General features: G+C 37.7%; 1 protein-coding gene across 3 annotated transcripts in view, besides 1 other annotated feature; it reads left to right on the top strand.

Annotated features, from left to right (window-relative positions):
- DROSHA (drosha ribonuclease III) overlaps positions 1–12,257 on the top strand; it is a 131,600-nt gene that overhangs the window by 96,168 nt on the left and 23,175 nt on the right. For all 3 annotated transcript variants that reach the window (NM_013235.5, NM_001100412.2, NM_001382508.1), the window contains 4 exons: positions 62–161; positions 4,248–4,350; positions 6,381–6,451; positions 11,455–11,499. In NM_013235.5, the coding sequence (NP_037367.3) occupies positions 62–161; positions 4,248–4,350; positions 6,381–6,451; positions 11,455–11,499 (319 nt within the window). The remainder of the gene's footprint in view (positions 1–61; positions 162–4,247; positions 4,351–6,380; positions 6,452–11,454; positions 11,500–12,257) is intronic.
- Positions 8,390–8,916: an enhancer, noted in NCBI's record as "NANOG hESC enhancer chr5:31427117-31427643 (GRCh37/hg19 assembly coordinates)". NCBI's record gives its function as "activates a minimal SCP1, AML or CMV promoter by ChIP-STARR-seq in primed H9 embryonic stem cells {active_cell/tissue: H9 hESC(primed)}" and the evidence as "EXISTENCE:reporter gene assay evidence [ECO:0000049][PMID:30033119]".

Here is a 12,257-nt window from a genome sequence, read left to right as displayed (position 1 = left end):
AGAGCCACAGACAGAATGTCGTGATGCATATTTATTCATGTACTTCTTTTTTTTTTTGTAGCGTCCATTTGTACTATTTGTTTCCTAGTCTGGAAGAAGGAGGATTAGCAACCTATCGGACTGCCATTGTTCAGAATCAGCACCTTGCCATGCTAGCAAAGGTATAGAAGACATCTGCAGCATTTGTAGTTACGTCTGACATGCTCTTCTGCGGTCCATGCATAATTTTGCATTTGAATAAGTAACTCGTTAGGATATATTAGGAGTGTTAATATTTTACAGACCAGGAAGTATTTTTTGTTGGGTTTTAAGGATCCAGTCTTATTAGTTCTGTTACCTTTGTGAGTTTCACCAGCAGCTAATGAACTCCACAGTGAGGTAACTTGAGAACAGATGAAGAAAAATTTGACAGATGTGCATGAACAGAGTTAAACATTTGGGGAAAAGGAACATGGGAACAAAGCAAAAGAAATGAAATATACTGTCTTTTCCCTTTGTGTAGTATTTCTGTAGTACATTTGTTTTTAATTTACATTAACAAGCCAAATGATAGCTTTGAACAGAATATTACAGACCATTTTTTATCCACTAGGGGTACTTTCTACACCTTTGAGAATCCCCCAAATCACAAATCCTATTAAGATTTAGGGTTTAGGCTGTTCCCCTAGCCTCATTGACTTAGCTCAGTGACTAACAGAACCTTTTCATAATTCAGATAAATGTGATCTGATTTGATGTTTCCATCTCCATATTATGTCTTATTATAATAAATCATGGCTGATAAGAACATTCCAGTCCACACTCCTCCTCTTACAAACAGGTGGCCATGGACAAATTGACAAATTGTTGTTCTCTTCTCCAAGCCTCTGCTTTCTCGTCTGTAAAATGGAAATGACATTAGCCCTTGGCACACAGCCTGGTTGTGAGAATTAAATGAGATTATGAGTTTTAATGATGTCATTTATAAAGTGCTACGCATAATACTTGTTTATAGTAATTACACAAAGATGTTAATAATTTTGTAGGGGCTGTTTTTATTGATGCTACCCATGTTCTTGTGATAAATCCTTACATTTTTATAGACTTCTGGGTTTATTTAATAGTAGGCAGAATGGTGGCTCTTAAATCCCCAAGCACTGAGGATCCACTGGCAAAACTTTTGTGGGTTTTGCCTAAAGTAATTTGTATCTTTTCTTCATTTTGATATGAAAGTTTGATTTTGATAGAAAGAGTAGATAAAGCCCATCCTAGCTTTATGACTGGTTTCTTAATTTGATCTTGCCAAGGCATTAATTATATTCAAAATGTGGTTAATTTTAGCTTATGTGTTAGCAATAACACATTGTTTTATTTTATGTGATAACATCATCATTGTAGCTACAGTGGTAGGCTTTGAACTGGTTTTAGTGGCATTTGAGAAAGTAAATATTGATGTCTTAATGAAAACCTGTAAGCAACCAGGTAAGCCAACTTGGTTTTAGCAGGCTCACAATGAATGAAATTTCACAACTCTATGTAAAACTGCTTAAGTGTTTGGTTGATTTAATTGTCACAATGCTTCCTGATCATTCACATAAATGCCACTGGAAATACATATTAATAAGTAGGTAGTCACTCCATTCCTTATTGTTTTTAGTTTTGGATGTAATGGAATGGCATAATTATTTTTCAAACACTTGTAGGGAGGATATTTACAAAGTGTGGGGAATTGCCGTAGCATGAAAACAGAAGCTATTATATAACCCATTGGGTGCTGTACAAAGCCATGACTAATGACAGAGGTGGCTAGTTTCTCCCTTCAGGGATTTCTATGTGGTCTTCTTCCACCAAGCCCAAGGCTTGCCATTCCCATAGTACTCAACACCCATTGGCTGCAGCAGAAGGCTGTGGCAGTCCCACCTTTCTTCTGTATAGACCAGTAGTCCTTAACCATTTGGAAGGGAAGGGAATTGATGGAGAATTGTTGACCCCTTTGAGAATCTAATGAAAGCTCTAGGTCACCTTCCAGACTAATGAACATTTTAAAACATAAACAGTAGCACACCACTCTATCCTTTTTAAAAGTTGTACTAATACCGGGCGTGGTGGCTTATGCCTGTAATCCCAGCATGATTACAGGAGGTAAGCCGAGGCAGGCAGATCACGAGGTCAGGAGATCAAGACCATCCTGGCTAACATGGTGAAACCCCATCTCTACTAAAAAATACAAAAAAATTAGCCAGGCGTGGTGGCAGGCGCCTGTAGTCCCGGCTACTCGGGAGGCTGAGGCAGGAGAATGGCGTGAACCCTGGAGGCAGAGCTTGCAGTGAGCCTAGATTGTGCCACTGCACTCCAGCCTGGGCAACAGAGCAAGACTCCTTCTCAAAGAAAAAAAAAAGAAGTTGTGCTAATGCGTGCATGGAAAAATAAGAATATAGAGTAGAGACTAGAAGAAGTCAGGAAATTCACATCACAGCACTCCAGAATACAGTAGATGTTTATAAGATAAAATATGGCTTGCGGTCTGCTTGCAAGCAGGGCTCCAGAGATAGCAAACAATTAAATTTTCCCAGTGAAGTTGTGAAACAGATGAAATTTACATATTCTAGTATAAACTCTTGCACTTTGGGATCAATTTTTAAAAAGAGATATTTTCTGCTATTGCATTTGCGGTAGTCAAAACTCATTTGAGTATATTTTATAATCACAAATTTCAAACAGTATAAAATACTACAGCATATATGTCTTATTTTTATTGTCTTTGTGTTTTTCCAATATGAATAAATATGGATATTTAAGATACATACTGAGACACACAGAATCTATGTCTTTTGTCTGAGGACTGGTGGAACTCATATTGTCCTAGGCTGTTCATTGACTTGTGATTTGTTCCATGTTATGTGGCATGTTATTGCTTAGTATTTATTGAATTGAATTACATGGTAATGGAAATGGATTTATTGCATATTTATGCAATGTTTGTAGCTTTCTTTTTTATGGAAAGAATTATGATTTCCATTTATTCAATCTCAGGAGTTGCATAAAAAATATTCTTTCACATTGTGTCTAGTTCTAAAAGGCTGGAATTGATTTGTATGTTGTAATGCCATGGGATAAGAAATAAGCAGCCACAGAGATCAAAGTAAAGGAAAACTATGAGTAAGATAGTGAAATGAATCCAGAGGTAAAGTTAGTATACACTGACGTATTCATCAGCCCTACACCTACAACTGGGCTACAAATTTGGCTCTAAACTCTTCTGAGGCCAAATCAGAAAAGGAAACACAATTCACTACAAATGCTATTTTCAGAGCCCTTAAGATCAATCCAATTCATTGCTTAGAAGGTCTCAGTGAACCCACAGAGAGATGAGTATGGAAACCTCATGAGGGGGACACAAGTGCAGAGGGGTCCCCAAATCGTCACAACAAATAAAAATAAAGATTTAGAAGTGTAAGGCATTTTGAAGTCTTCTGAGGGTCCTCACTTACTCTACCACATAAAAATCTATTTTGGGCCAGGCGTGGTGGCTCACACCTGTAATCCCAGCACTTTGGGAGGCTGAGGTGGCTGGATCACCTAAGGTCAGGAGTTTGAGACCAGCCTGGCCAACATGGTGAAACCCCATCTCTACTAAAAATACAGAAATTAGCTGGGTGTGGTGGCAGGTGCCTGTAGTCCCATCTACTCGGGTGGGTGAGGCAGGAGAATCGCTTGAACCCAAGAGTTGGAGGTTGCAGTAAGCCAAGATCATACCACTGCACTCCAGCCTGGGCGACAGAGCCAGATTCCGTCTCAAAAAAAAAAAAAAATCTGTTTTGTATGGTGCTGACATTGTCAGTACCACATGACTTGAGTCAAAGACGTAAAATTGACTTTCAGAAGTTTGTGTTAGGTTTGTAATTCTCTCCCTAGGCATATTGGATGAACCCAGGGGCTTGTAGCAGAGTCTTATTCCAGCCTGGGCTAGTGCTTGATCTGAACTTGGAATTGGAAAGTTCAGATCTGATCAATTCTGAACCCTACTTGAACTATTGGAGTTTGTAGAAGCCTGTTTGGGAAAGAATTGAGTTAGTGAAAACTGAGCTGTATGTATAGGACTTCTAATGAATGTTAAACTAAACTCTCTCTTAATATATTCATGGATTTGTAACCATTACGCTGCCCCCATCTCGTCTCCGCACCAACTCTCTGCAAGAGATGCTGAGTTACTATAGTTAAGATTTTGGCAAACTCTTTCTTACGTTTTGTCATTGTGAATTTTGTAGAAACTTGAACTGGATCGATTTATGCTGTATGCTCACGGGCCTGACCTTTGTAGAGAATCGGACCTTCGACATGCAATGGCCAATTGTTTTGAAGCGTTAATAGGTAATTTCTCTCTTCTTCAAGAAGTCTACTTTCTTGCATGTCTAAACAGTCTGGAGAGCACATAAAATTTAGTGTGGAAACTTGGGACAGAATTACTTGTTCCCAAAGCACATGAGGTTCCTAGGACGACACCTACCACCTTATATTATAGTTATTTCAGTTCCTTCAGAGCAGTGAACATGCCTCTTTTTTTTTTTTTTTTTTTTTTTGCATTCTACTGCCTGAATTGGTGTCTGGTGTCTGATGTCATGTAGATGGTTAGTATTTAATGAATTGAAATGAGGTGAGTTAATATGGAGATGGATTACTTTCCAGATTTGATTCAGGATCACATACATAAACAAACAGATTAGGTTGCTGAGAGACTCCAGTGTTGCTTTTGATTAAACTATTTGTAAGATTTCTGTTTTAAACATCTTGAGAACACCACATCTTTTAAGCCCCACCCAGGGTTTGAGTCTGTATAACTGTTATTGATTCACTTGAAGCAAGACTGATGTTGACATTTCACTCCTCACTCAGGCACTTTACTTCCTTGGCTTCTTTTTGACTGTAACCAGAATACAATTAGCCATTGGTACAGGAAAGTTATGAAGAGTTAATTAGCTGGCGACTGCAAGTTTGTATGCTTTACAATGAAATGTTACAGTAGATTGACAACTTGATTTTTTTTTAAAGTAAATGATCAAGTACATTTTAGCTTTCAAAGGGCTTTGTTCTTACCATTTTTGCCCTCTTCCTTTGAAAATGAATATAAAAGCTTCCCATTGTAGTTTCATGCTGATGATAGTGGGAAGAGAATGTTTAATAATTATCCACAGTCTTTTCACAGCTATGTCTGTTTTTCACAAATATGTCTATTTTCAAAGAATTTGTCACATGGAATTACTTTGCTCTGTACACATAATATTTTTGACAGTTGGTGTTACCATTGCCTCCAGAACCAGCCAGACATGATTCAATTTCCTGTTCCATCATTTATCAGATCTGTGTCTTTGGCAAGCTACCTAATCTCTTTGATCCTCAGTTTCCTCATCTGTGAGCCTGTGAGATGGAGATAGTATCACTTACCTTGCAGAGTTGTCATAATGATCTTAATATCTGATTCTGGCAGCATCCAATCCAGAGCAAAGCTCTACTTCCTTAAGCTGTCCCCCCAAATCAACTAATATGAGCCTAAATCCTGTAAGTCTTTTCTAACATCCTCCTACTGAGGTACCCCATGAAAGTGAAGATAAGAATGTGGAAATGCTTTGCATGGTACCCAGGACATAAGTGTTTCCCAAACCACAACAGCTGCTACCACTGTTACTCTGACTATCATTGTTACAATTATCAATAAATAATGAATGTCTTTAGTTGTCAAAAGCCCTGGTAACTAAGTGCCTTAACATTTTACATGGAAAAGTAGCCTTTCTGAAGACAAGTGTAAACATTTGATTTCAAGAAAATATGAGTACTCCATTGTAATTGATACCCAGTTAAAATGTTACCATAGTACTTCCTGGTTATGATTCATTAATGTGTTTGCCTAATGCTTAATTATTCCAAATTAAAGGTAAAGCTTCCCCTGATATTTTGTTTGCAGATGCCTTCATTGATCTAGACTCGGGTTTTGTCTATCAGGTTTTTTTTTCCTTAGGTATCTATATACATTTGATCTGAAACGTATACTATAAATGCATAAAATAAAACAGAACATTTGCTTTACTAAAGTCAAGTATTTGTGCATTGCTCCCTTAGTAAGGTTTATACCTTTACCCTTCATAATAGTTGATATTTGGCCTCTTTTACTTACAATATTAGATTTAGATGTTAGTAAATTGAATTTCATATTATTTCAGTCTAATTTGTAATGCAAAGGATAGCAAAAAGGGGAAATGTCACCTTTAAGACAATTGCTTCTGAACATGTTGATTTGTTTTCTGTGAGTAGTTTTTGGCTTGCGTTTTTGCTTTATTATAGAGATATGTCATTTTCTTTGACTGTTGATGGAGACTCTCTTTTGGCATTCTCTGTTTTTCATCTAGGAGCTGTTTACTTGGAGGGAAGCCTGGAGGAAGCCAAGCAGTTATTTGGACGCTTGCTCTTTAATGATCCGGTATTTCTATGGAATCATTTGATTTTTTTTGTTATATATTATTACAGAATATTTTATTTCAGCTGGTCTTTGTAATTTGAAGAGAATATAGGAGAAACAAAATAGTCAGATCTACCATAGATGGGACATTTCAATACACCAAAATGGCTTATTCAACTCTTGCAGATGGAAAGTTCCATGGACCTTTACACAAGGAGTTTTTCTTTGGCCTGAACCTGTCTTTCCTCATGGTCACTTATAAATTAAATATGAATACAAATATAATAGGACTTCGCTTCATTTTGAAGTGTCTTGAAGCTAATTATGATTTTATATTTTAGAATCATTGGGTATCTACCCCATGCAGGCTTAGTTGAAGTGATAGCCTTTTGGCTTTTCTGTGTATGATTTGTTTTTATGTAAATTATGTAGACTAGATAAATGTTTATTTATTTTTAAATGTCAGTTCATAGGGAGTTTCTGATAGGGCTATGGATAAAGAGTATGAAAGTACTTTTTTAAAAGCAAATTGTAGTTTAAGAAAAAATGATAGATTCTAAAATAGTTTCTGTTGTTACTTAAATATTAAGCTATTAATATTGCCAGAGACACCTTTTTAATCCTGCATGTAATAGAGTACACTGGATGCTTTCTGCACCAAAACAAGTCAATTTAACATTTAAAGGGGGAAGCAACTCTGTATTCCAAATTGAAATGTCATTATAATTGAATGAAATAGCCCTCATGGAGCAATAAAGAACACGGGAAGCCAGTTTTAAGCCTCTGTGAAACCTTCAGCTTAAATGGCTGTCAGACGTTATTACTGTATTACTTTGGGTAGTTTTTTTAAAAAAGGATCAATAGTTTTGGAAAATATGACCTGGACAATGTTCATATCTGAGAATTTGATTTTTGTATTTGTTTTTCTAGAGATATGTGATGATTTTTATGGATGAATTTCCTCCTTATGGGAAGATTATCTACAGATGCTCTGTGTCCCCCATTTTTGTCCTGCACATATAAACACATGTGCATCTTGATTTGCATCTGTATCAGATGGTGTGTGTTTTAAGACCTTTTCTCAAATCTTAAATTTTCTTTGTTCTGGCCTTCACCTTTTGTGGGTCATTTCAGCAACCTCTTTGCTCTCTTTCCTTCCTGCAGTCTTGTCTGTGTGTCCCCCAGCACCCTTTAGACTCCTTCCCCCACCCCCACCTCCTCCCTGTCCTCTTCTCCCATCTTACCTGCATCCCCCAATCCACTGTGTTCTGTTGTTCTGTTTTGCTGCAGTTTTCTACTTGTCTTCTTTAATTGCATCAGTCTGTGTTTAGATTCTTTTCTCTTTAAACTGCCTCTCTCCCAGTTGTCTACTTAGTGAGCTTATCTTGTGTTTCCAGTACCTAGTGCAATGCTGGCATGTGCAGCGTTTAATACAGATTTGTTAGAAGAGTGAAGTGAATAAATGACTGGATTAAAAGCAGAGTGTGAACATTATCTTACAAACAGGGTGGTTGAGATTCAGAATTTGTTTTAGTGTGTCTTTTGTGAAACTGCATAAGGCTCACAATGTATGGGTTTTCCTCTTTAGCATTTTGAAGTACACAAACTTGGACACTGACTCATTTGACATCTCCATATTGGTTTCCACCTATTAGTTGTAGCATGTGAGAGATGTTAGTGAACCAATGTACTTCTTTTTTGAATAAGGCATCATGAAAGCCTAATTAGCCAAAGACAGCCAGGGACAAACCTGTAGGCAACAAAGTCAGGTTGATTGGCTGTGTTGTGGGGGTGGAGAGAGACATCCTTTGTGAGGCCTGGGCTGGTGCTGAATAATTCTTAGGAGGTTCTTGGCTGTGGCCAGTTTAGGAGCAGCAAGAGATTACTTTGGGATTGGGTGCCGTCCCAAGGCAAGGGCAGCTTGGCGATTAAGTATCTGCGGTGATCCTTAGTCAGAGGGTCATAATGGCATTTTACAGCAGCTGCAAGACCTTGAGGAAAACATTGTTTCCTGTTCACTTTGCTGCTGGCTTTATCTGTGTCTGTCTTCTCAGCCCTGTAAACAGCAGGGCTGTTTTTTTCTTTTTCACCCTCAACTGAGTTTTACTCTTTCAGCCCCAGTTTTGCTGGTTTTGTATTTTGGTCTTTGTGTAACCCTTCAAGTTTGACCCAGTACATTCAGATCCATTGTTTCATTTTGATTATGTTAATGGCCCGCTTAGAAAGCTAGAGTGGTGTTAATGTGATTTTTCCTATGCCCCTGCTTTCCACACCTTTTCTCTTTACACAGCTGTCCCAGTACCTCTGACTCAGGCCTTTTCTCTGGAGCTGCAGAAACTGGAAAAAGTGTCTTTTCAAGTTGCCTCTGGGCACCTCACAGGTGTTTCACAGATACCTCATTTCAACATGTGTAACATTGAACCCATCACTTTTAACCCCCAAATGTGTTCCTCCTTCCTTATTTTTATCTTCTAAACCAGAAACCTTAGGATTTATTTTTGTCCCTAAGCTTTCTTCTCCTCTTATCTGATCGATTGCAAGAGTCTATCAATTCTGACCCTAATATTTCTTGAATTGCTACCCTACTGCTTTCATTTTTGTCCTCCTCATTTCTCACTTGAACTCTAACCGGCTGCCATCCCCCACCGCTCCAGTCCATCATTCATACCACATTTCTTCTTTTCAATATGCAGATTTGGTTAGGGCCTTTCTTGCTTAAAATCTTTGGTTACAGCCTCCCAAGCTCTATATACTACATAACGTAGCATTTAATAGTTTTCATAATCTGTCAGCCGTTTTTTTAATCCCTCTTTGTGCCATTCACTAGGAATCACCTTTTTGTGCCTATGTACTTTAAGACTTATTATTTGTATGTTTCTGGTGCCCCGTTTTTGATTCTCACTCTCTACTGATTTGCCAAAATCTTCATATTCTCAGGACACATCTGAAGAATCATCTCCTCTTTGAAGCTTTATCTGACACCTCCAGGCAGTTTTCCTAACACTTATATGTATATATCTCATTATTATGAGACTTACCACAATGTATTAAAGTGCACTTATTTACCTTCATTCTTTCTCACTAGGCCTCTTTAGGACAGAGTTAGGTATTCAGTAAAAACATGTTGCATGAACAAATGACCTGATCAGAATATTTTCCAGAAGAGCCAGCTAAAGGTAGAGACCTTGCCTAAGGTCCTTGAGCTAATAAATGGTAGCACTGGGGTTCCAGTCTAGATCTTTTCAGTATATTTCCCCTGACACCAAGGTGCAGCAGAACCCTATCTCGGTGTCTATGGGGTAGATGAAAGGAAATGGACAGGTGCATTAGTCTGGTCATGGGGTGTTATGCTATTACACCAAGATGGGTGGCAGCAGACATGAAAGGAGGAATCACAGTCTTGTTTCGGTATAAGACATGAAGGTGATAGAAGAAAGGTGAATCAAGATCCCTGGGAATTTTGAGCCTTGGAGACTGGGGTTGGTTGGAAGAAATAGCTCTTTATCATTGTTGTTGTTGTCATCATTATTAATAGTAGTACTTTCTATGGGCCAGCTCTGGGTTTAATACTTTGAGTGCATTGCTCAGGGTGTTTGTCAGAGAACAGCTTGAGTAGGTCCTACAATTATCTTTGTCTTAAGCTTGAGGACATGGAAGCTTAGGTTAAGTCACTTGCCAAGATGGAATCAGGATTGGACCCAGGCAGCCTGACTCCTAAGCCTGCCGTCTTCTGTAACAGATGCTCTAGTTTAAGGAGAAAGGTGAAAAGTTATCATTTGATCATGTTCCATATGGAGTAATAGGTGCCCATGTGCTATTTAGAGTTATGGACTGGGAGCTTAGGTAAGAGGTCAGTGCTGCAGCAGAAGTGAATGAGTAATCCAAACTGAAGTAGTAAAGCACTGGAAATAGTGGAATTCTCCAGTGGAAATGGTAATGAATAGGTCAGGCAAGGGCCCGAAGTTTGATAAATGTCCACTTAGGGTGAAAGGAGGAAGAAAAAAAGCATTGAGAGAAAGTTGTAAGAAGGTAAGAACAATCAATATAATTTGCACTACCGAGATTTCAAAGGAAAGATTTCTGAATTGGTTAAGAGAAGTCCTTTAAAGTGCCCCAAAGAAAGTTTGATGTTTAAATGCTTTTAAAAAATATTATTTAAAAAACCCTGAGTGTATTTTATTAAGATATCAGTTGTGCAAGAAATATTAGGTATTTTACTTTTATTACCCTGTGTGTTACAAGTGGTACTAAATTTTCCTATACTTCTTCCCCTCTAAAAAAAAACTTAAATATTTTTTCCTCTTAAGGAATTTTTTTTGTTATTTATTTCAGAAATCTAATATCAAGGTCGGGAAGTAAATTCAGTCAGAGGCTCCCTAGAGTCTGAAACTAAAGGAAAAACACTTTAGTCCTGAGGAAGTTCTCATTATAACCTCTAGATTTAAGTCAGTGGATAAAGTAATATACTAGGGGTTTCCATAAAATTCACTCATTCCAGTAGTTCAAGTGAACATTTGTAATGACCCACTGTAAAAGCATGATCTCATAAACATAAGATCTTATGAAGACGACATGGGGCGTTTTCCACTCCATCTTAAAATAGCTCATATGATAATGAATTAGTGCCTAAAATGAAGGACATTTGAAATGAGTTTTAATTACAAAAGGCACAGCTGATGCACATTTCTGGACAATGGTAAGAAAAAAATATGATTAAAAGAGCAGCTTAGTGCAGTGTATTAAGTTAACCAAATATGTAACTTAGTTTTAAAAGGTGTCTGACTTCTGGGACTAGAGGAGGCTCTTTTCCCCCGTAGCTTAATAGGCTAATTAGAGTCACTACAGGCGGTTTGAGTGGTGAATACACTTAAAAAAAAAATTAGTTTGCCAGCACTGTTGAATTTGCCATAAGTGGAGTCAGTGTCTGAAATAGTTCCGTATTTCAAATAATGACATTTTATTTAGTACTCTAGAGTGCGTTAAATGGCTCCCTTGAGCATTAAAGGCATCACTCCATTTTCCAGGACCTGCGCGAAGTCTGGCTCAATTATCCTCTCCACCCACTCCAAGTAAGTATGACCTCCCTGTCTGCAGTGAGCTTTATAACTCCAGCTATTCATGTTACTTTCCTTTGCCTTTTTTTCCTTCCCCACTTTTATCTTTTGATTCTCTTCGGTGGCATTGTGCCTTTAAGCTGAGGTGTCAGACCTGGAAAACTTTGGAACAATAGGAGAATGAACCCATGCATTGTGTTTATGTGGTCTGGAATAGGGTAGGGGGAGCATTGGGAGTCATCTTCCCTCAGTGAGGAAGGAAGAGCTACTGTGTAGTTATGGATGCCCCACCACCACCAAAAGGTGATATTGAAAGCATAAAATGTTGACTCCAGTATATCTACACACTTGCTTTTGCAGGGAAAGTGTTAATAGTATGGAAGCGAGTCTGAGCATACTAAAAAAGTAGAACAAATACTAAATTAACATTGTTAACGTATGATCTAATCTGGATCTTAGAAATTGAAAGCTTCAATTCAGAGTGTATAAAACCTGTAAATTAAAAAATTAGTATAGTGTGATAGCTTTTCACTCAAGATTTTGGAATTTAAAAGCTCTACATATGGTGGTGGCACCTATTTCCCCAGATGGTTTAAGAATTCTTACTATTCTTTGCCTTTATTTCTGTTTTACTTTGGGATATATGCATATATGTAAACATCATATGTATCCTCATATACTTATTTTTATATATGTATATAAAATAAATGTAAGAAGTGGTTGAACTCTCATAAGAGGCTTTACAGTAAGAAATGACATTAATTCAGAGTACT

The sequence above is a fragment of the Homo sapiens genome, chromosome 5, assembly GCF_000001405.40.
Source record: "Homo sapiens chromosome 5, GRCh38.p14 Primary Assembly".
Taxonomy (NCBI): Eukaryota; Metazoa; Chordata; class Mammalia; order Primates; family Hominidae; genus Homo; species Homo sapiens.
Note: the sequence above shows the minus strand (reverse complement) of the source record. Positions and strands in the feature narration are given on the sequence as shown.